Source organism: Homo sapiens, chromosome 3 (assembly GCF_000001405.40).
Source record: "Homo sapiens chromosome 3, GRCh38.p14 Primary Assembly".
Taxonomy (NCBI): Eukaryota; Metazoa; Chordata; class Mammalia; order Primates; family Hominidae; genus Homo; species Homo sapiens.
The window spans coordinates 51,041,682-51,067,607 of NC_000003.12; the positions used below are offsets into that span (position 1 = coordinate 51,041,682).

Sequence of the window (25,926 nt, forward strand, 5' to 3'; positions counted from 1 at the left end):
TGAAAGGAATCTTTTTTTCTGAGCAATAGGTCTCAGCGGTGGGCTTGAAATATTCTAGTAAACTAGCTGTAAACAGATAGGCTGTCATTTAGCCTTTATTATTCCACTTAGGGAGCATAAGAAGAGTAGAATTAACATAATTCTTAAAAGCCCCAGGGTTTTTGGAAGGGTAAATGAACATTGCCTTCAACTTAAAGCCACTGGCTGCATTAACCTCTAACAAGAGAGCCAGCTTGTCCTTTGATGCTTTGAAATCAGGCACTGACTTCTCCCTAGCCATGAAAGCCCTAACTTATTCACAGCTGAATTCTACCATATATACAAAGAAGAGCTGGTATTATTTCTACTGAAAACTATTCCAAAAAATTGAAAAGGAAGGACTCCTCCCTAACTCATTCTGTGAGGCCAGCATCATCCTGATACGAAAACCTGGCAGAGACACAACAAAGAAAAGAAAACTTCAGGCCAATATCGTTAATGAATATTGATGCCAAAATCCTCAACAAAATACTGGCAAACTGAATCCAGCAGCACATCAAAAAGTGAATCTACCACAATCAAGTAAGCTTCATCCCTGGGATACAAGGTTGGTTCAACACAAGCATATCAATAAATGTGATTCATGACATGAACAGAACTAAAGACAAAGACCACATAATTATCTCAATAGATGCAGAAAGGGCCTTTGATAAAATTCAGTATCCCTTCATGTTAAAAACTGTCAATAAACTAGGTATTGAAAGAATATACCTCAAAATAATAAGACCTATATATGACAAACCCACATACTGAATGGGCACCATCATACTGAATGGGCAAAAGCTGGAAGCATTCCCCTTGAAAATGGGCACAAGACAAGGATGCCCTCTCTCACCACTCCTGTTCGACATAATATTGGAAGTTCTGGCCAGGGCAGTCCAGCAGGAGCAAAAAATGAAGCCCATTCAGATAGAGAGAAAGGAAGTCAAACTATTCCTGTTTGCAGATGACATGATTCTGTATTTAGAAAATCTCATCATCTCAGCCCAAAAGTTCCTTAAACAGATAAACAATGTCAGCAAAGTCCCAGGATACACAATCAATGTGCAATAATTGCTAGCATTCCTATAGATCAACAGTAGTAGAGCCAAGAGCCAAATCATGAACAAACTCTCCTTCACAGTTGCCATAAAAAGAATAAAACACCTAGGAGTACAGCTAATCAGGGAGGTTGAAAGATCTCTACAAAGAGAACTACAAACCACTGCTCAAAGAAATCAGAGATGACGCAAACAAATTTTAAAAAATTCCACACTCATGGATAGGAAGAACCAATATAATTAAAACGGCCATACTGCCCAAAGCAACTATAGATTCAATGCTAGTCCATTAAACTACCATTGACATTCTTTACAGAACTAGAAAAAACTATTTTAAAATTCATGTGTAACCAAAAAAGAGCCTGAATAGCTAAGGCAATCCTAAGCAAAAAGAGCTGGAAGCATCACACTACCTGACTCCAAACTACTGCAGGTCTACAGTAACCAAAGCAGCATGGTACTGGTACAAGAACAGACACACAGACCAATGGAACAGAACAGAGAACACAGAAATAAGACCGCACACCTACAACTATCTGATCTTCAACAAAACAGACAAAAACAAGCAATGGGGAAAGGATTCCCTATTCAATAAATGGTGCTGGGATAACTGTCTAGCCATAGGCAGAAGATTGAAACTGCACTCCTTCCTTATACCATATTCAAAAATTAACTCAAGATGGATAAAAGACTTAAATGTAAAATCCCAAACTACAAAAACCCTAGGAGACAACCTAGGCAATACCATTCAGAATATAGGCACAGGCAAAGATTTCATGACAAAGACACCAAAAGCAATTGCAACAAAAGCAAAAATTGACAAATGGGATCTAATTAAACTAAAGAGCTACACAGCAAAAGAAACTGAATGGGGTAAACAGACAATCTGCAGAATGGGAGAAAATTTTTGCATTATATGCATTCAGCAAATGTTTGATATCTAGTATCTATAAGGAACTTACACAAATTTACAAGAAAAAAAAACCCTTTAAAGAGTGGGCAAAGGATATGAACAGATACTTTTCAAAAGAAGATATACATGCGGCCAACAATCGTATGTAAAAAAGCTCAACATCACTGATCATTAGAGAAATGCAAATCAAAACCACAATGAGACACCATCTAATACCAATCAGAATGGCTAATATTAAAAAGTCAAAAAATAACAGATGCTGGCAAGGTTGTGGAGAAAAAGGAATATTTATACACTGTTGTTGGGAGTGTAAGTTAATTCAGCTACTATGGAAGACAGTGTGGCAATTCCTAAAAGACCTAAAAACAGAAATACCATTTGATCCAGTAATCCCAATATTGTGTATATACCCAAAGGAATATAAATAATTTTATGATAAAGACACATGCATATGTTATGTTCATTGTAGCACTATTCACAATAGCAAAGACATGGGATCAACCTAAATGTCCATCAGTGATAGATTGGATAAAGAAAATGTGGTGCATATATACCGTGGAATACTATGCAGCCATACAAAAGAATGAGATTATGTCCTTTGTAGGGACATGGATGGAGCTGGAGGCCATTATCCTTAACAAACTAACACAAAAAAACAGAAAACCAAATACCACATATTCTCACTTATAAGTGGAAGCTAAATGATGAGAGCACATGGACACATAGAGGGGAACAACACACACTGGGGTCTTTCAGAGGATGGAGGGTAGGAGGAGGGAGAGGATCAGGAAAAACGACTAATGGGTACTAGGCTTAATACTTGGGTGATGAAATAATCTGTACGACAAACCTCCATGACACAAGTTTACCTTTGTAACAAGCCTGCACTTGTATCACTGAACTTAAAAAAAAAAAAAAGCCCTAAATGGCATCTTCTTATCTTTTTTTAATAGAAGGCCGTTTTGTCTTTTCCAGTAGAAGGCTGTTTTGAAAATCTGTTGTTTCCTGTACCCATGTTCATCAGTGATCTTAGCTAGATCTTCTGAATAACTTGCTACAGCTTCTCCATCAGCACTTGCTGTTTCACCTTGCATTTTTATGTTGTGGAGATACCATCTTTCTTTAAACCTCATGAACCAACCTCTTTTAGCTTAGACTTTTCTTCAGCAGCTTCCCCACCTCTCTTCGCATTCATAGAATTAAGGAGAATTAGTGCCTTGTGCTAGATTTGGCTTTGGCATAAGGGAATATTGTGGTCATTTTGGTTGACTACCCAGACCACTCAAAAATTTTTTTTATATTAGTAATGAGACTGGTTTGCTGTCTTATCATTTTTGTGTTCACTGGAGTAGCACTTTTAATTTCCCCCAACAAACTTTTCCTTTGCATTCACAACTTGGTTGTTTGGTGCAAGGGGCCTTGCTTTTGGGCTGTCTCAGCTTTCAACATGCCTTTGCCACTAAGCTTAATCATTTCTAGCTTTTGATTTAAAGTGACAGATGCATGACTCTTGTTTTCCCCTTCAACACTTAGAGGCCCATTGTAGAGTTATTACTTGACCTAATTTTAGTATTATTTTGTCTCAGAGAATAGGGAGGACTGAGGAGAGGGAAAGAGATAGGGGAATGCCTGATTGGTGGAGCAGTGACAATACAGACATTTGCGATTAATTTCTCCATCTTATATGGGTGTGGTTTTTAATGCCCCAGAACAATTACAATAGTAACATCAGAGATCACTGATCACACACAGTTCACCATAACAGACATAATAATAATGAAAACATTTGAAATATTGCAAGAATTACCAGAATTCCAGAGACACAAAGTGAGTACATGCCCTTGGAACAATGGAGCTGATAGACTCACTTGGCACAGGGTTGCCTAGTTTTGCAATTTGTAAAAACCGTAATATCTGTGAAGCTCAATAAAGTGAAATGCAATAAAACGAGGTATGCCTGTATTTAGTAGGGCAGGTCTATTTTTATTTCTCATCTTTTGCAAAGTTGATGTAGCTATTCATGGTCTTAATTCATAGGATATCATACTTTTGTTTGTAGAATTTCTTTATTTAAAAAATGTCTTGGTATTTATAATGGAATAGCATTGAAATTAGGGATTAATTTTGAGATATTTCATTTATTTAAAATATCAAGTCATTCTTACCATGAGCATCTTATTTTATTGTCTTACATTTTTTAGGTTGTACTTTTTATTTTGAGATAATTATAGATTTCCAGGATGTTTAAGAAGCAGTACAGATGGGTAGCAGCTCTCCTGCTCATGGACCCTGACAGCAGGCCTGCAGCACTGTAGTTTTAGTATGCAATTGGAAGTAACATTGTTATCAGCTTAAAATAGACTGTCATAAGAAGTTTTACAAAAGCCTAATGGTAACCACAAAGAAAAAAACCTGTCATAGATTTTTAAAAGATATAGAAAAAAGAATGAAATTATATCACTACAAAAAATCATTAAATCACAAAGGAAGAGAGGAGGAGGGGAACAACATAAATACAAAACAGAGAAAGTAGTTAACAAACTGTTAATAGTAAGTCCTTAACTGCCAAGAATTATTTTAAATGTAAATACATTAAACTCATTAAGCAAAACATGTAGAGTGACTGAATGGATTTTAAAAACAAGATCTAATTATATGTTGTTTGTAAGAGAGTCACTTTAGCTTTAGGAGACACATAGGCTAAAAGTGAAAGGATGGAAAAAATATTCCATAAAAATGGTAACCTAAAGAGAGCAAAGGTAGCTAGCTATATGTGTATCAGACAAAATAGATATTAAGGCAAAAACTGTTGTGAGAGACAGAGAAGGTTTTTGTATAATGATTGAATCAATTTAACAGGAAGATAGAACAATTATAAATATATATGCACTCATCATGATACCTAAATATATAAAGCAAACATTGGCATATCTGAAGGGAGAAATAGCAATACAGTAATAGTAGGAGACTTCAGTTCCTCACTTTCAATAATGGATAGATCAGACAGAAAATCAATGAGACAGCAGTCCTGAACAACAGTATAGACCAAATGACCCAATAGACATACACAGAACATGCCACCCAATAGCAACAGAATCAGTATTTTTCCAAGTTCATTCTCCAGGATAGATCACGTACTAGATCACAAAATAAGTCTTAACACACTTAAGAAGTTTGAAATCACTTTAAATATATTTTCTAATAATAGTGGAATGAAAATAAAAGTTTACAAATACATGGAAATTAAACAACACTCTTGAATAGTTATTAGGTCAAAGAGCAAATTAAAAGAGAAATTAGAAAGTTTCTCAAGGCAAATGAAAATGAAAACAAAGCATACCAAAATGTATAGGATGCAGGAGAATCAGTACAAAGAGATAAATTTATAGTGATAAATATCTACACTTTAAAAAGATCTTAAATAAACAGTCCAACTTTATTATGCCTCAAGAAGCTAGAAAAAGAAAACTAAGCCTAAAGTTAGAAGGAAGGAAAAATAAAAATGAGAGCAGAGACATAGGTGGGAATTGAACAATGAGAACACTTGGACACAGGATGGGGAACATCACACAGGGGCCTGTCATGAGGTTGGGGGAGGGGGAGGGATAGCATTAGGAGATATACCTAATGTAAATGATGAGTTAATGGGTGCAGCACACCAACATGGCACATGTATACATATGTAACAAACCTGCACGTTGTGCACATGTACCCTAGAACTTAAAGTATAATAAAAAATATATAAATAAAAATAAAAATTAGAGCAGAGATAGAGAATGGAAAACAATAGAAAAAAATCAAAAAGATGGTTTTTTGAAAAGAAAAATAAAATCAACAAACAGGTAGACTAAGAAAAGAGAGAGAAGACTCATAAATAAATTCAGAACTGAAAGAAGAGACATTACAGCTGATGCCACAGAAATGATGGACTATTATGAATAATTATATGCCAGTAAATTGACAACCTAGAAGAAATGGATAAATTACTAGAAATATACAACTTCACGAGGCTGATCAAGAAGAAGGATAAAGCCTGAACAGACCAATAACAAATAAGGAGATTGAATTAGTAATCAAAAATCTCCCAACAGAGGAAATCCCGGGACCAGATGGCTTAACAGCTGAATTATACCAGGCATTTAGAGAATTAATCCAATCCTTGTTAACGCTTATAAAAAAACAGAAGGAGGAGCACTTCCAACTCATTTTATGAGGCCAGCATCACCATATTACCAAAGCGAGACAAAGACGCTAAAAGAAAAGATAACTTCAGGCCACTATTCCTAAGAACCTAGATGCAAAAACCCTCAAAAAAATATTCAGAAACTGAATTCAGCAGCACACCAAAAGGATCATACATCAAACCAGTAATCCTGGGATGCAAATATGGCTCAACATATACAAATTAATTGATACAGTATACCACAATAGCAGAATTAAGGATAAAAATCATATGATCATCTCAATAGATGGGGGGAAAGCATTTGACAAAATCCAGCATCCTTTCATGATAAAAAAAAAAAACTTTCAACAAATTAAGTATACAATGAATGTACTTCAGCATAATAAAGGCTCCATGTATGACAGCCTCACAGCTTATATCATACTCAGTGGTGAAAAGCTGATGGTTTTCTTCTAAGATTAGGAATAAGATAAGGATGCCTACCCTTGCCACTATTCAACATGGTACAGGTTGAATATCCCTTAGCTGAAATACTTGAGACTGCAAGTATTGTGGAATTTTTTGGACTTTGGAATATTTGCATATATGTAATGAGATATCTTGGAGATGGGACCCCAAGAAACTTTAGAATTTCTAAACATGAAATTCACTGATGTTTAGTATACACTTTATACACATAGCCTGAAGGTAACTTTGTATAATATTTTAAATAATTTCATGCAGGAAACGAAGTTTGTTTACATCAAACCATCATGAAGCAAAGGTGCCATTATCTCAGCCATCCATGTGGGTAGTCTGTGATTGTTTGGCATCATCATCATTCCTGACTGAATTTATATGCTAGCAATAAGCAATTATTTTCTTAAACTTACACGTAAGTACTTAACAGTAAAAACTATGGGAGGCTGAGGCAGGAGAATGGTGTGAACCCAGGAGGCAGAGCTTGCAGTGAGCTGAGATCGTGCCACTGCACTCCAGCCTGAGCGACAGAGCGAGACTCCATCTCAAAAAAAAAAAACAACTATGACATGCCATTAATACAATGGAAAATAATGTGTTCAGGGTAACGAGCAGCACAGCAGTATCACCAGAATACCTGTATCAGCTTTTAAACAACAGCAACAACAAACAGTAGCAGGCTTTCGGTCTCTACTTACAATGCTGTGTTTTGATTAAAAGGTTACTGTAGGCTAGGCGCTGTGGCTCACGCCTGTAATCCCAGCACTTTGGGAGGCCAGGCAGGCAGATTCCTTGACCTCAGGAGGTCCAGACCAGCCTGGGCAACATGGCAAGACCTTGTCTTTACAAAAAATTCAAAAATTAGCCAGGCATGGTGATGCATGCGTGTAGTCCCAGCTACTCAGAAAGTTGAGATGGGAGGATCGCTTGAGCCTGGGAGGTGGCGATTGCAGTGAGCTGAGATTGTACCACTGCACTCCTGCCTGGGTGAAAGAGTGAGACCGTGTCTCAGAAAGAAAGAAAGAAAGAAAGAAAGAAAAAGAAGATTACTTACAGTGTATTTTAATTGTTTTGGTGAAAAGAAATATCAGGAGCAGTTGAGGGACCTGGAAGTTGGTCCTCTAGGGATCAGGAGGCATTATGCTGGTTCCTTTTTTAAATGGCTAGCTAACTTTATGGGTCAGTTTTCTTTCGAGGGTACTAAATAAACTGTTCTGTACCAGTGTTTTGCCTGTGACCCATCATATGGGGTTAGGTGTGGAATTTTTCACTTGTAATGTCATATTGGTGCTCAAAATTTTAGAATTTTGGAGCATTTTGGATTTTTGGATTAGCGATGCTCAACCTGTACTGAAAGTCCTAGCCAGAACAAATAGACAAGAAAAAGAATAAAAGGCATTCACATAAGAAAGGAAGGAGAAAAATTATCTCTTGTTTTCAGAAAACATGACCTTATGTGTAGAAAGCCCTAATGGGTCCACACACACACACACACACACACACACACACACACCCCAAAAAAACACTGTTAGAACTAATAAATGCATTTTGTAAAGTTGCAGGGTAGAAAATCAACACACAAATATCAGTTGCATGTCTGTGTACTGATAAAGAAATATTTGAAATTAAGAAAATCCCATTTACAATAGCATCAAAAAGAATAAAATATTTAGGAGTGAAATTAACCAAGGAAATTGAAGATCCCTGCAATAAAAAAAATACAGCTTTGATGACAGAAATTTAAACAAATGGAAAGACATTTCATGTTCATGGATTGAAAAAAATTAGCTGGGCGTGGTAGCTTATACCTGTAATCCCTGCTACTCAGGAGGCTGAGATGGGAGGATTGCTTGAGGCCAGGAGTTTGAGACCAGCCTGGGAAACACAGCTAGACCCTGTCTCTACCAAAAACAAAAACACAATTACCCGGACATTATTGTGCACACCTGTAGTCCTAGCTACTCGGGAGGCAGAGGTGGGAGGATCACTTGACCTTAAGAGTTTGAGGCTACACTGTGCTGTGATTGCACCACTACACTCCAGTCCAGATTACATAATAATATTTTTATGTAGCTTAAAACCAATATTCTGTTCAGTAAACAGCAGGCCAGTTGATACATGAGATTTATAGAATTGTAGCACATTGGGGTTCTCCAAAGAAACAGAATCAATAAGATATATATAGATATATACATAAAAGGAGATTTAGTCTAGAAATTGACCCACACTTATAGAGGGCAAGAAGTCCCATGATCTGCTGTCTGCAAGTTGGAAAACCAGGAAGGCCGGTGGTATAATTCAGTCTGAGTCAGAACCTGAGAACTGAGAGACAAATGGAGGGCAGGAGAAGATGAATGTCTCAGCTCAGGCAGAGAGTGAATTGACCTTCCTCTGCCTTTTTATTCTTCTCAGGCCTTCAGCATGTTGTATAATACCCATCCATATTAGTTCTTCTTTACTCAGTCTGCTGGTTCAAATGCTGATCTCTTCCAGAGGTACCCAGAAAAAATATTTTACTAGATATTTGTGCATCCCTTAGCCCAGTCAAGTTAACATATTAACCATCACGTATAGCATTATATGATTATAGATAACCACATATATTTTAATGAAAATTAAAAGTAAAAATGTTTTAATTTTTATTAAATTTTTAGCTTTACACTTTGTGATGTAACAGTTTGATGGCAGTTCATTGGTTTCAGGTCTAGGACTTAGTAATGCTCAATTTGTTTCACTTTTGAGAAAAAAAATTGTAAATAGTTTCTGTCTACCTTATTCAGAGTAACATGTTCTTCAAATGTAAAGGTTGGCTTAGTCAAGAGGGTACAGAATTTCTTTATATAAAGTTTTTAAAAATAGATAAAACCAAACAATTTTTAAAGGGATATATAAGTAAATTTAAAGGAAGAAAAGGATACAAATTAAGAACATGGTTACCTGTAAGAAGTTGAAAAGGATTATTATTTATTATTAGAGAGGTGCACGTAAGACTCAATGGCAAAGGCCAGATGTGGTGCCCTGGCAGGGGTGCCTTGGTCATTATTTGGAAACACAACTAGAAGACTTGTTGATGTTTGGGACCCAGGCTCAGAGCAGAGTGTCTTTTGGAGGCAAGGCAAGAAATGTGGTATGGTAATAGTCACAATCACAGAGCCCTTACTAGGTACTAGGCACAGTTAACCCCTGTAATAATCCTTGGTAGTTGACCATATTCTTTTTTCTTTTTGTAAAGGGGTGAGCAAATTGAGGCACACAAGTAGTAAATTTGCCTAAGGTACTGTAGTTGGCAGAGTTGAGATAGAAAACCAACCATTCTGACTCTAAAGCCAATACCCTTTCCCACTGTGTTAGGCCATTCTTGTGTTGCTGTAAAGGAATATGTGAGATTGGGTAACTTACAAAGAAAAGAGGTTTAATTGGCTCACGGTTCTGCAGACTGTACAAGCAAGGCCTTGTATTTTCTCAGCTTCTGGGGAGGCCTCAGGGAGCTTTTACTCATGTCAGGAGGCAAAATGGGAGCAGACACATCACATGGCAAGAGTGGGAGCAAGGGGGTGGGAGAGGTGCCATACACTTTTAAACAACCAGATCTCACATGAACTCACTCATCACCAAGGGGATGGGGCTAAGCCATTCATGAGGGCTACACCCCATGATCCAAACACCTCACACTAGTCCTCACCTCCAGTACTAGGGATTGCATCTCAACATGAGATTTGGAGGGGGCATTTGAACTATATCACCCACTATGCTCCATTGTCTCTATGTTAAAGAATTATGAAACTCCAGAGGAAGGATGAGTAGTAGGAAGGCAGGAAATTATCTGGATAAATTTCACAGATTTTTTTGAAGTTCTCAGCTTTTTATTTTCAGTAGGTAAGACAGAGTCATTTAAAAGGACTAGAGTAGGCTGGGTGCAGTGGCTCATGCCCGTAATCCCAGCACTTTAAAAGACCAAGGTGGGTGGATCGCTTGAACCTGGGAGTTCAAGACAAGCCTGGGCCACATAGCAAGACCTTGTCTCTCTAAAATACAAAAAATTAGCTGGGCATGGTGCACCTATAGTCCCAGCTACTTAGGATGCTGAGGTGGCAGCATCACTGGAGCCTGGGAAGTTAAGGCTGCAGTGAGCCGTGATTGTGCCACTGTACTCCAACCTAGGCAGCAGAGCAAGACCCTGTCTAAAAAATGAATGAATGAATGGACTAGAGTAGACTAGAGGTAGGAGTTAACGCAACATAATGCCTTTAATAGAGAGTTCCTGGATGCCCTTGGAATTTCAGCTCTTTTCGTGTGAAAGGACTGAGCCTGCTGCATGCCAGTGTGCACTTTCTGCTTTTTTCCTTTATTTGCCTTAGCAAGGAGACTCAGATCTTGAAGGGGCTTGGTTGGCAGGGTAGCAACTATCATTTCTGCTTTGTATGTACTGTCACTAATGTGAAAGCTGTGAAGGGACAGATGCTATATGTAATCAAGAGACAGAGCTTTCCATAGGGTATTCTTTTACTGTGGAATGTGTTTCATTTCTCATCCACTCTAGGAATGAGAAGTATAAATGGTCTAGCTTTTGTGTTGATTCTGAGAGGGATCATTGCACTAGTGCAGGTTTGGCTGGTTCTATTTATTTAAAGTAATAAATAGCAGTGAGGGCTAAATTGAGACTGCTTAACTTTGTGACCCATAGCAACCCAGTTGGGGTGGAGGATGGAGGAAGGCCCTTTATAGTAAGGATTATTCAGTTTCATCTTTTAAAAAAGTCAAAGATATATATATATATATATATATATATATATATATATATATATATGGATTTTAAGTTATATATTACAGACTACTTGGCATTGAACAAAAAAATAGCTTTAAATTCCTGTCCCTATCTCTCCCCATTCCTGATTCTCACTCCCCATTTTTTAAACCCTCTTAGTTGTTTCTTCTGGTGTTTTACATTTCTAAATAATGTTATTTTAATGTATATCTTGACTTTTCTATTTAAGTTACAGTTCAGTGATCTTCTTATTATAGAAGATAAGAATTAAGCTCCGAATGCTCTTGTCCCTACATACATACTTTTCCCTTCCCCTTTCAATACTTCCAAACTAGTTGTATCACTATTTTTTTTTTTTTTTTGATGGAGTCTTGCTCTGTCCCCCAGGCTGGAGTGCAGTGGCATGATCTCGCTCCCTGCAAGCTCTGCCTCCCAGGTTCACACCATTCTCCTGCCTTAACCTCCTGAGTAGCTGGGACTACAGGCACCTGCCACCATGCCCGGCTAATTTTTTGTATTTTTAGTAGAGATGGGGTTTCACCGTGTCAGCAAGGATGGTCTCTATCTCCTGACCTCGTGATCCACCAGCCTCGGCCTCCCAAAGTTCTGGGATTACAGGCATGAGCCACCATGCTGGGCTGTATCACCATTTTTTGAACCAATGTTTAGTTGTTACTATGCCTGTGTAGCCACTTCACATATAGTGAATTAAGGTTACATTTCCTTTGTTGTGTAACCTTGTTTTTCTTAGGGTTAATAATTGTTTCTCCTTTTTAATTTGCTTTATTTCCTTTGTTTTCTATGTTTCAATCTTTTGGCATAAATGAAAATCTGACTATGTTCAAGCACTTCAGGTATTTTATCAGTTGAATTTTTTTCTCAATTATATCCTGCATGGACTCTGCCACCTTCTTTGTTAATCTAACCTGAGAATTTTCTTTGCTTCTCTCCTAGGTCCCTTTGTCTCTTAGGTTAAGTCAGTGTTGCTTTAATTCTTGGTAAACTTCCTCATTTGGTGAAGCACTTTCCCCGTAGCTTCCTAAAAAAAAAAAAAAAAAAAAAAAAAGAGTTTGTGGGAGAATTTTTATTTTTGAAGTTTTACATATTTAAAATGTATTTAGCTTACCCTTACCTTTGATTGATAGCTTGGCTGGATATATACTTCTTTGTTACAAATAAGATGAAAAATTTTTAAAGCATTGGTTCATTATTTTCTAGCTTCCAGTATTGTTGTTGAGATGTTCCATGTCTTGTCCCAATGCCCTTCTAGTTCCTGATCCTTTTATTGACAAGTTGTTTTTTATGAAAAATTTAGTAGTATCTCTTTGCCCCAGTGTTCTGAAATTTTACAATGATTTGCTGTAGATTATTTTCACTGATAATGCTGGCTAATCAGCCAATTCTTTTAGCCTAAAAGCTAATTTCTTTCAATTCTAGGACATTTTGTTTGTATTTCATTTTTTGATATTTCCCTCCTCTTTGTTTTCACAGTTCTGTCTTCCTAGAACCCTTTGATTAGAGTTGGACATCTTCAAATGATGCACTAATTTTCTTACATTTTGTCTCCCATTTATCTATTGGATTGCATTACCTTTTCATTCTGCTTTCAGGCAGGATTCCTCAATTTTGTGTTCCATTATTTTACTGTTTTTTAATATTAAATTACGACTAGCCTGCTTTTAACTTCCAAAAGCCCTTTTGGGTTTTGGGGGTTATGCCCCTTTATTATGCCCTATTCTTCTTTGGATGGATGTGCTATAATTTCTGTGGTCTTGTAAAATATTAATTATTTTTTCTTTGAAATTTTCTTTTATTCTTGTCATTGTGTCTGTTTCCTCCAATATCTATTTTTCTGATTGCTTTGGTCTCTTTCCTTCATGTTGGAAGCTTTCCTTATTATATGGTGTTCTTTGTCCATTCATATTTAAGAATGAGGCATTAAAATGTTGACAGAAAGCTCTGTGAATTGGGCTAGTATTTATCAATTAGTGAACATTACTTTAGAGGGATTAGAAGAGGGCCTGGCTTTTGATGGAAAAAGTAGAGCAGCTGTCAATATTTCTGGATCTTTTCCCCTGGGCTGAGTTTTCCTAAAGAGGAATCTTCTCCATTCTTCATATGCAGGTATCAGCCTGGTTGTTAACATCTGGGGAGCTCGATGTGGAAAGCACACTGGGAAAGGGTTGGGGGTAAAGGGGGATAATACTTCTAGGCTTCAGAGATTTCTGGTACCTCCAGTCTCAGAGCCTTTCTGCAGAGGCTTGCATCTTACTGATTTCTTCCCTGTTTCCCACCCTCCTCACTTGTCTTCCTCCACCTTACTCTTAGGGCTTTTTTAGTTTTCTATTCTTTGACAAGTCATCTACTTTCCAGCTTTCACCTTTAATGTTTGGTGGAGTGGATAGTTGTGCATGGGAAGGATTGAGGCTGGCTTTTTATTAGTCTCCCTAAGAAGAGATGCCTATGGACACATCGAGGACTGACTTTAAGTAGAGATTTGATCTGTCCTGTGTAGTAGGAGTGACTGTGAGCCTGAGAACGCCTCAGCTGTTTACTGCCCACTGTTAGGTAAGTCTGCCTTGTTCAGAATTGTGAATGGATGCCCTTCACTTGGCATCTATCCATCCGTGAATGGATGACTTCAGCAACTACAGCCTCCATTGTCATATCTCTAATATTTTTTCTACCTTTCTACCTTTGGTGTTGTTCCTTTCTTATGAAGATCTGCTCTGTGGAATAGAAAGATTTTTACAAATCTTAGCTCTCCTGCAAATATATGTGTTGTAAGAGAGGATTAGAGCTATAATGCTATTTGTTATTTGGAATATCAACTCTATAATGGAGGATGTATTTGGGCTGGGGATAGACTGAGGATGATATCATGGCCCTTGAGATGTGGAGGAGTTAGATGTATGTGCCAAGGAAATACATATTGTATGGATACTTCCTCATATTAATGAAGAGAAAAAGAATTTTCATATCGCTTCTTTGCATTTTCATTTGTTGTAAATATGTGCTTGAAAATCAGTGTGAATTAGCTTTGGTTTAGATACTGTTTTGTTTCACAAAAATTTCTATCTTTTGTACTCAGTTGCTGACTATGTTGTTCGGCAAACTAAAATGAAAGTTTAGATTCCTGGGTTTAAAGGTATTTTATTATTATTATTTTTATTTTATTTATTTTTTGAGACGGAGTCTCGCTCTGTTCCCCAGGCTGGAATGCAGTGGCACAATCTCGGCTCACTGCAAGCTCTGCCTTCCAGGTTCACACCATTCTCCTGCCTCTGCCTCCCGAGTAACTGGGACTACAGGTGCCCGCCACCATGGCTGGCTAATTTTTTGTATTTTTAGTAGAGACGAGGTTTCACAGTGTTAGCCAGGATGGTCTCGATGTCCTGACCTCGTGATCCACCCACCTCAGCTTCCCAAAGTGCTGGGATTACAGGCGTGAGCCACTGTGCCTGGCCATTTAAAGGTATTTTTGACATAAAGGTCATTAGGGTTCCAAGTACTGTAGTCTAGAAATCTTTTCATTATATTGGGATGAGTTTTGGAATATAAGAAAACATCTAGAATAGGATTAGAGGTTACTTCATGAGAAGAGACTTGAAGATTAGTAGTAATGAAAAAAGAATGCTGTTTTGGGAGTTTTGAATAAACTCAAGTTCTTAATGGTTAATTTGTTAAAAAGAAAGTGAGAAAAAACCCATCTACTTATGTATAAAGGAATATTCAAAAAGAAAATGTAAAATAGGGGAGATCTGGTAATCTTCCCACAACAACATTGGAAGGAAACAATGTTTATCTTCCATTAAATTGATTTTGATGTAAAGTTTTTAGTACTAGTGGCAGGACATTATTCTCTTTGAGGATAGCAAAATTTCTGATGTCATTTTTATTTAATTAGATTTTTATGATGCTGTGTTTATATTAATTGGTCCGTAAGCATATGTAGTTTTAAAATAAAGGTAATATACTTTCTGGCAAATGCCCTACAACTTTGCTCATTTACTGACTTAGAGGCATCACTGTGGCACAACGTTTCTTTCCATACTGGGTTAAAAATAATTTAGCAAAAATTATCTTTAAAACAGGAGCACTAAAACATATTCTTTTTTTCTGCAGAGCTCCAGGGATTGTTTCACAACAGTGAGGCAAATTGTACTTGGCATGCGTTTGTAAAGTAGTTTAATCATTCTAAATTTATGGTTTCTGCTGACTCTTCAGTGTACTTTCCAAATAATCTGTGACTGATCTTGACAAATATTAGTCTGTAGGGTTTTTGCAGAGGCTGGATGTGTTGCTAAGATGAGCTATACAGATTTCTTCTGCCCAATCTCCTCCTCATTGAATTTTCCTTTTATTTTAGCAGTGACAGGAAATAGGGATGATTGTGCCAGAAAACAAAACCTGTAGTGCCAACCTAATTATACTGTTACTTTAATCCACTGAGGAGCAGGTCTCTAAGTAGAAAAGGATTGTTTTTCCTGAGTGAGGTATTCAGCTGTTTTGTGGCATCAGATCATTCTAGGTGAATGTATGCTCTGGTGCTAGTCACCCAGATTGCTCACCTTGAGTGGTATATACTGTCTTATGCTAACAAGCCCAAGAACACAGTGCGGTGTCGGAGCAATGTTGGTGGAGCCTCTACTGCTAGGGTCTCTGGTCAGAGAGGTCATTAGGTTGGCCCGGAAAAAGAAATTAACACCACATTGGTTATAATAACAGTGCTGCTTTACTTAATCCATTTCCTTCTTTGTGCATCTTTACACAGTTGGTGTAGGATAAGTAATTTCATTTTCATGTATTTGGAAACAACTGATTTTCTATTGAAAAAAATTGTGTAATTGTTTCAGTTACCTACATAACAAACCATCCAAAGCTTAGTGGCTTAAAATAACTATATTTTTCATTCTTTTCTGGATATAGTGAACTCAGTTGGGCATTTTTCATTTAGGGTTTCTCATTTTGTTGCAGTTGAGTATTGGTAGGGGCTGTAGTCCTTTGAAGGCTCAGCTGGGCTAGGTATCCAAGATTGCTCACTCACACCATTGAAACTCCTTACTTATGGCCTCAGCTCCCAAGAACATGCATTCCAAAATGCAGGAAGCAGAAGCAGCCAGACTAGTTAAAGGCTGAGAACTGGCCTAGCTCACTGCTGCCATATCTGTTGGTCAGAGCATATTCAGGGCCTGCCCAGATTCAAAACTGTGGGAAAATAGATTCCATGTCATGCTGGAAGGGTATCAAAGTCACATTATTGCAAAAGACCACTTGTCATGGGAGATATTGTAGTTATCTTTGGAAAATGCAATCTGTGAAACTCTTGATTAAAAAAAACCATGTACAATGCCTTAAAAGACTACATTTGTATATTCTTGCATAGATAGTGTGTGTTTGTGCGTGTGGCATAGATATTGTATATGTGTATTGTGCATTTATGTATGTATTACATGTGTATGTGTGTATATATGTACATGTATATGCATTAATATACACATACATAATACGTATATGCCATCTTAGTTTGTTGGGCTGCTATAACAAAATTTTCTAAGTTGAGCAGTTTATAAACAACAGAAGTTTATTTATCACATTTCTGGAGGCTGAGAAGTCCAGGATCAAGATTGGCAGAATCAGTGTCTGGTGGGGGTCCACTTCCTCATAGTTTGCACCTTCTTGCTATGGCTTCACATGGGAGAAGGGATGAAAGAACCTCCCCTTTGGGCCTATTTTTTTTAAGGTAATAAATACAAATATTTAATTAAATATTAATAGGAAATTTGGCTGTGGGTGTATACATATATGTATAAAATAATTACATATATATGTATGTATGTATAAAATCATTTTAACTTTTATTTTAGATCTGGGGGTACATGTGTAGGTTTGTTACATGGGTATGTTGCATGATTCTGACATTTGAGATGTGAATAATCCCCTCACACGGGTAGTGAACATAGTACCTAACAGGTAAGTTTCAACCCTTGTACTTCACCCTGTCTTCACCCTCTAATAGTCCCCAGTGTCTATTGTTGTTGTTTTTATATTCATGAGTACCCAGTGTTTAGCTCCCACTTGTAAATGAGAACATACGGTGTTTGTTTTTCTGTTTCTGCATTAATTTTCTTAGGATAATGGCCTTGGGCCTATTTTATAAGGGCACTAATCCCATTCACGAGGGCTTGGCCCTTATAACCTAATTATCTCCCAAACAGTTTCACCTCCTAATACCATTGCCTTGAGGGTTAGGATTTCAATGTATGAATTTATTGAGGGGGAAATGCAGACATTTGGACCATAGCACACATGTACATTAATACACATGATGCCTCAGTATCAGTATACTTCATTAGACTTTGCTAGAAAAAAAACCACACACACACACACACACACACACACACACACACACACCCCACATCCCACATTACTTTTAATTAGTTTTCACAGATCTCAGAACTACCTAGCAATGGAACTAACTTTCTGGTCAATTCAAGTTACCACTCCGTAAGAGACTGTTTTATATCGTTTGCTCTATTCTCAAATCTCAAATACCCCTTCCCACTCTATTCACTCCCAGCTGATGATATTGCTTTTTATTTCTCTGAGAATAAAGCAGTCAGAGGAAAATTTTAGTTCTCTTATTACCAGATCTACCAGCTACCTGTATCATTACCCATATTCTGTACCCTTCCTCTCTGTGAAGAATAGGTAGGTAACACAGAGTATCAAGCCTCCTACCTAAATCAAACCCTCCCCTTTTTTCCCCAGGATCCATCTGTTCATGTCTACTCAAGGATTTAACAGCTGCATCATCAAATTTTCTCCCTCTAATAGATTATTCTCTTCAAAATTTAGTTTGAAATTTTGTCAAATCTTTTAAAAACCCTTCCTTAACCACACAGTCACATTCTGCTACCCCATTTCTCTGCTTTTAGTTACTGCAGATTCTTCAGAAGAGTTGTCTGTGCTCTTTCTCCACTTCTTCCTCTCACAATCTCACTCAAACTCACTCCAACAATTCATTGAACCTGCACATTGTGCACATGTACCCTAAAACTTAAAGTATAATAATAATAAAATAAAATAAGACATCTATTGCATATAAAAAAAAAGAAACTGTTCCTGTAGAGGTCAGTGACAGCCACCACAATGCCAAATCCCCTGGCCAATTCTCAGTTCATATTTATTTAACCCCCCAGTGCCTTTGACAAAGTCCTCCTTAAAATCCAGTTTTCTAAAATTTTCTCCCATTCTGTAGGTTGCCTGTTCACTCTGATGGTAGTTTCTTTTGCTGTGCAAAAGCTCTTTAGTTTAATTAGATCCCATTTGTCAATTTTGGCTTCTGTTGCCATTGCTTTTGGTGTTTTATACGTGAAGTCCTTGCCCATGCCTGTGTCCTGAATGGTACTGCCTAGGCTTTCTTCTAGGGTTTTTATGGTTTTAGGTCAACACTTAAGTCTTTAATCCATCTTGAATTAATTTTTGTATAAGGTGTAAGGAAGGGATCCAGTTTCAGCTTTCTACATATTGCTAGCCAGTTTTCCCAGCACCATTTATTAAATAGGGAATCCTTTCCCCATTTCTTGTTTTTGTCAGGTTTGTCAAAGATCAGATGGTTGTAGATAAGCAGCATTATTTCTGAGGGCTCTGTTCTGTTCCATTGGTCTATATCTCTGTTTTGGTACCAGTACCATGCTGTTTTGGTTACTGTAGCCTTGTAGTATAGTTTGAAGTCAAGGGCTAATATCCAGAATCTACAGTGAACTCAAACAAATTTACAAGAAAAAAACAAACAACCCTATCAACAAGTGGGCAAAGGATATGAACAGACACTTCTCAAAAGAAGACATTTATGCAGCCAACAGACACATGAAAAAATGCTCTTCATCACTGGCCATCAGAGAAATGCAAATCAAAACCACAATGAGATACCATCTCACACCAGTTAGAATGGCGATCATTAAAAAGTCAGGAAACAACAGGTGCTGGAGAGGATGTGGAGAAATAGGAACACTTTTACACTGTTGGTGGCACTGTAAACTAGTTCAACCATTGTGGAAGTCAGTGTGGCGATTCCTCAGGGATCTAGAACTTGAAATACCATTTGACCCAGCCATCCCATTACTGTATATATACCCAAAGGATTATAAATCATGCTGCTATAAAGACACATACACACGTGTGTTTATTGCGGCACTATTCACAATAGCAAAGACTTGGAACCAACCCAAATGTCCAACAGTGATAGACTGGATTAAGAAAATGTGGCACATATACACCATTGAATACAATGCAGCCATAAAAAATGATGAGTTCATGTCCTTTGTAGGGACATGGATGAAGCTGGAAACCACCATTCTCAGCAAACTATTGCAAGGACAAAAAACCAAACACCGCATGTTCTCACTCATAGATGGGAATTGAACAATGAGAACACATCGACATAGGAAGGGGAACATCACACACCGGGGCCTGATGTGGGGTGGGGAGAGGGGGGAGGGATAGCATTTGGAGATATACCTAACATTAAATGACAAGTTACTGGGTACAGCACACCAACATGGCAGATGTATACATATGTAATTAACCTGCACGTTGTGAACATGTACCCTAAAACTTAAAGTATAATAAAAAAAAAAGCCATGAAAAGAAAAATCCAGTTTTCATTTGGCTTTCATGACACATACTCTCCTGCTTTTCCTCTCACCTCACTGCTTACTCCTTCTAGTTTCCTCTGCTAAATACTTCTCACTTTCCTAACCTCTGAATGTTGGAAATCAGTGTCAGACTTAGCATGTCCAAAATTAAACTTAGTTTCCTTCTTCCAGGCATGCTTTCCAGGCCACAAAACAAGAGTGATACTTTACTCTGTTCATAACCCACATCTAGTCCGTCAGCAAATTCTGGCACCTCTACCTACAAAACATGTCAAAACTTCAAGCCCTTCTTAACATCAGCATTCTTACCTTCATCCAAGCAGCTGTTATGCTGTGAACTGTTGCACTAAATAGCCTCCTGACTGGAATCCCTGCCTTCCTCTTTGCCTTTTTATGGTTTATCTTCAATAGAGCACTCAGAGTGATGCTTTCGAGACTTAAGTCATATCACATCACTCTTCTGCTCCAAATCTCCAGTAACTTCCCATCTTGCTTAGAATAAAAGCCAAAGCCTTAAGGTGGTTTACAAAATCTGTGTTTAACCTGGTGCCTGCTGCCTGTCTGCATCATCAATCTTCCCTTTCTCAAGACACACTGACCCTGTTTTTCCTGAACATGCCATGTTTACTTCCACCTCAAGGCCTTTGCACTTGTTTCTTATGCCTGAATAATGTCCCCAGTTTTCTTAAATGTTGCCACCTTACTTCATTCAGGTGTATTCTCAAAGTTCAGCTCCCAAAAAGTCTTTCCCTGACCACTCCACCTAAAGCAGTACCTTCCCCAGTGCCCCAGCCAGCCTACCCTTGGCCACTCTGATTTTTCTTTTTATAATTTATCACCATCATTAATGATTTGCCTATTGCCTGCTCTCTAGATCAAAAGTGCCATGAGAGCAGGGACTTTTGATCACAACAAAGTGTTAGTACTCAAGAGGTGCTGCACAAGCATTTGTTAATTGGATGAATGAATGAATGCTTGTGGATGTATACATGCAATGGACTATCATATAGGCTTTGATGGGAAAATAATAATTCAAACTTTCTGTTTTATACTTAAACAGGTGATTTTGTTTTATCAATATGAAACGTATGTGTTGGAAACAAATATCACATTGCCTTTATGGCTTAATCGTCAAGATTCCAATTTTCCAGATGGTATAGTTTGCTTGGGCTTTGCTGGTTTTTGAGCTGGCAGGAATTTGTGAGTTCTCACCTTTTTCCAGCATTGTGTACCATCAGGATGCTTAACTTTTCTTCATCAGTTCATCGATTAAAGAAAGGAGAAGTTAGAGTATATGATTCCTAACATCTTCTAGTTAAAAATAATTTCTCTTTAAGATGAATCTTTAAAAGTCTAATGGGGCCAGGTGTGGTGGCTCATGTCTCTAATCCCAGCACTTTAGGGGGCTGAAGCAAGAGGATTACTTGGACCTGAGAGTTTGAGATCAGCCTGGGCAACATATCAAGACTCTATCAAAAAAAAAAAATATTAGCCAGGCCTGTAATCCGAGCCACTCAGGAGGCTGAGTTGAGGGGATTGCTCAAGCCCAGGAGTTGGAGACTGCAGTGAGCTGATTATATTACTGCACTCCAACCTGGGAGAGAGTGAGATCCTGTCTCTTAATAGAAAAAAGTCACATTAGATGATTTCTAAGTAGTATGATATTCTGAATGTTTTAGTTATAAGATCACTGCCACCTCAAAACACTACCTGATTCTACTGTTTTGTGATTTGCTGTATAGCTAATTTTATTTATAGCTTCTTTGACTTGAGCTTATTTTGGCAAACATCTTTTTTAGGGTAAATCTCATACAGATATTTTACTAACATCTTAATCTGCCTTCAGAAGCATTATTTATAGATCAGTTACATCCCAAGAATTTTAATTATACAGAAACCAAAATATTCTAAAATCAAGATTTCACATATCAGCAAATAGGACTTGAGTTTTTAAACTCATACATTATTTTTAAGTACATCTTTTTTCTGAAGCATCTATTCTCATGACACTTATATTTTTCTACTTTTAAGGTTAAAACTACTACCAGGTCCATAATTAAGTTTGTTAAGATGTTTCCGTTTAACTCTTACAAAGGTGACAATTTTTATTAAACTGAAAAGACTGGAAATCTGTTACACCAGAGGGAGTCGGGGAAGGACACACCGTTTAGAAAAGCTAATTAGAAAATCAGATGAGGCCTAGAAATCAGGAGTGAATTTCACTCCAGGGACTGTGGCTTTATATTGAAACATTAGTTGCTTCAAAATAGGGCAAATGATTCTTCCTCTCCCAACTTGGATATCTCTCCTGGAGAAACCAGAGTTATTGCTGGATGGTTGAAATTTTTGCTTTTATGTGAACTGCAACTTCTGTGAGGGAAAGCAGCTCTGGGCTCCTGTGTAACATTCTGTTCTAAGTTTAGTAACTTTGATTTACTAAAGAAATGAATAATCTAGGATGTGGTAGAGATAAATGCTACTTTTGCATGATCCAAATCAATTATGTTACTTTGTTGGATGTCACTACGTAGAGATTTTTGGATAGAAGGAGGTAATGACTTTCAGACTTTAAAATTAAGTTCCTCTTTATATTACCTTAGTAGTTCAGAGAAATGAGCACTTTTCATAGTTTAACTATTTCTCTTTTTCTTTTCATTCCTTTTCCATGTCTCTTGTATTTCACCCAACACCAAAAATGCCCTTTCAGAAACACAAAGTAGATCTTTTCTACAAACTACGCCATGTGATGAATGAACTTATTGACCTGCGAAGGCAGCTACTGTCTGGTCACCTGACTCAGGATCAGGTGCGGGAGGTTAAGCGGCACATCACCGTGCGCCTGGACTGGGGTAATGAGTAAGTATGAAAATTGTTTGGGTATCTCTCAGTTTCATTTATGATAACTCAGTCTTCAGGGAGTTTGCACCTATACAAAGCTTCTCTTTAATGATTCAAAGGCAATGTTATATTCTTCACTAAGCTTTCATCATTTTTGCTAGGAGCAGTTATTTGTCCTAGTTAGCGAAGGATACTCACTGGTTCTAGTTGCTGAACCTCTTTTAGCCTCTGTTTTTGCTTCTGAAAAGAAGAGGTAAATAATAGGACTAGATTATCCTATAAAGTTAAATTTCTTTGACCTCAGATTTCTTGATTCTACACCTCCTAATCAGAATACACTTGAAAATATATTTTAGTGCTTTCTTCAAATGTGAATTTAGTGTCCTTCACATTTTATAGCCATACAATGAATCTGAATGAGCATAACCTACAAATGGAAACTGTCTACATTTGTACTTCAGAATATTTTTGACTACCTTGTCATTCAGTAATAGTCTTGCATTTATGTAATAACTATGATTTGCTATTGCCATACAAGTACAATTTGAAGACTTTGGTATGGGAAGTTAGGGTATAATTTTCAGTGAATATAATTGATATATCAATAATTGATATAATAATTAATATAACTTTATAATTGATATAAATTTCAGGTGCTTTTGTCTCATTCTCTTAAAATTGGGTCCATTGAACTTTTAAGTGACCAGGTTGCCTCCTACTTAAAATATACATATACCTTAAGTATATTTATATGTGTGTCTTTAGCTCCTTATCCTTTTTGGGAGGGGCCCACCAATAAATGAAATCTATGAGCCCATTTCTGGAAGCCGGAAAGTAGATGAAAGATTAATGACAGAGTAAATCCATTATATGTGGAGGAAACCTTAGTTAATGAGAGAGTCAGTCTGCCCCACAGCTCCCAGAATCATAGAAGGTGGGATAGGTCTTGAAGCTTTGAAAAGGACTTGGCTTAAAAGAGTGTCTAAGGAACAGTCTACCCCAATCAATGAGCAGAAACCTGGCCAGGTATTTCCTCTTCAGATAAACAAATATAAAAAATGGCTACCGGGGAAAAACTGGGCAACAGGAGTGTGAACTGGGACTTTCTTGCAAAACTCTCCACATTCTGGCATTTAAGGACTTTAAAGTATAATGAGCAGATTGCTCCCGCTTACCAGAAAGGGAAACTTGCCAGTCACCTACCCATGTACAAAAAAACTCTACAATTCTTCTGCTATCTTTTAAGTTTGAATGGACAATCAGGTATCACCAGATGTTTGAAGAAAAGCTTCTACAAGACAGAGAGAGACCAAGATTAACAAAACACCTGTACACAAAGAAAGTAACCTGTCCCCAGAGCAAATTGAGATTGATAAAGTACTTTAAAACAAAACAAAACAAAAACACTTTAATATCCTCAAATCGAATCTAAAAGATCCACTATGTAGAATAAGATGCCATGTAAAAGAAGTGGAGAATGTAATTTCCAAAATAAAATACTCAGAGAAGACAAATTTTATGTAATCCCTAGGAAAATAAGACAAATATATAGGCAATACATGAGGAAAGAAATTCAGTACAAAGGCTCTACCCAGGGAGGTCCAATATCAAACATTTTGCCTTCCAAAAAAAGAACGGGGGAAATTCTGAAGGAATAATAGAAAATTTGTCAGAGCCAAAAAACAGGAATATTAAGATTGAAAGCGTCCCACTAAATATTTATAATGAATGGAAAAACAAAACAAACAAACAAAAACTCACAACGAGGCACATTAAGATAGCTTAGTATTCTAGGAATGAAGAGAAGACTATTTAAGGGTTTTAGACAGAAAAATAGTTCCTCTCACAAAAGAATAAGTATCATACTGTCCTCAAAAGTGTTATCATTAGCACTGGATGCTAGGAGATAATGAAATAATATGTTCAGAGTTCTGTAGGGAAATGATTTGCCAGCCAGAGTTTTATTTTACAAATCCCAACCATCTAATTAAGTGAGAGGGGACACAAACCATAAAGCCATTTTTAGGTATTCAGGGATGCACGAAAGTTCCCTCTCATGACCCCTTCTTAAGAAGGGACTTGCGGATGTGCTTCTGCAAAGTAGAAGAATAAATCAGGAAAGAGGAAACATGGAATCTAATCAACAGTAGATCACACCCAAATTGGTAGTGTTCATCAGTAGAAAAGAGGAAATATAACACTAAATTCGTTGTTTGTGACCTTTTTGAAGCCACAACTTTATATCTTTGTTTGTTTTGTTTAATTACACCCTATCATGACTGTTAGTAGGATTGCTTGGCACCTACCACAGACTACCTTCTATAATAGTGTATAACATGAATTTAGGTGTACCATAGATCAGTGTTCCCTAAATCTAACTTTGGGGAATAACAATTTAGTAAAATACAGTATGTTGATGTACAGCATAGCTACTAATTCTGCCTCTTCAAACCCAAACATTTTTATGTTATGAAATTATGTCACTTTTTATTTTTAAGTCAATGATAAGAATACAGTAATTGCAAATATAACATTACTGTGTGCCAAGCAAATTGGTCACAGTTGAACTGATGACACTAATAAATGTGTAATTCATTATGTTGCAGTTTAACTGCAACTATAGATTCCATTAAATAGAACTATTTCAGAACTATCAGTACCTATACCTCTTTATTATGAAACTTGAAAAACAAACCAATCTGATTTTGCAATCAAATCTGAAAATAAATAGATGATAGCTTAGAAACAAGTTCAAATTGTACTTGAAAAAGGCTCAGAACATTATAAATACCTGCCAGTAAATTACAGGGCTATTCCAATTTCATGACTTTTTCTCAATGAAATATGTTTGTGTGTGTGTGTGTGTGTGTGTGTGTGTGCGCGCGCGTTGGAGGGGTATGTATATGCATATCTTAATAAGCAAAAATGAAAAACACAGTTCCATTCCCCTCCCCACTTCCCTTCTCCCTCTTTCCTATTTCTCCTTTTCTCCCTTCCCTACTTTCCGTCTTCTTTTCTTCTCCTTTCTT

General features: G+C 37.2%; 1 protein-coding gene across 22 annotated transcripts in view; it reads left to right on the top strand.

The window, feature by feature from the left end:
* Nucleotides 1-25,926, top strand: part of DOCK3 (dedicator of cytokinesis 3) — a 709,272-nt gene that overhangs the window by 366,755 nt on the left and 316,591 nt on the right. For all 22 annotated transcript variants that reach the window (XM_005264914.4, NM_004947.5, XM_006713010.4 and 19 more), the window contains exon 6: nt 22,767-22,915. In XM_005264914.4, coding sequence (XP_005264971.1) covers nt 22,767-22,915 — 149 coding nt within the window. The remainder of the gene's footprint in view (nt 1-22,766; nt 22,916-25,926) is intronic.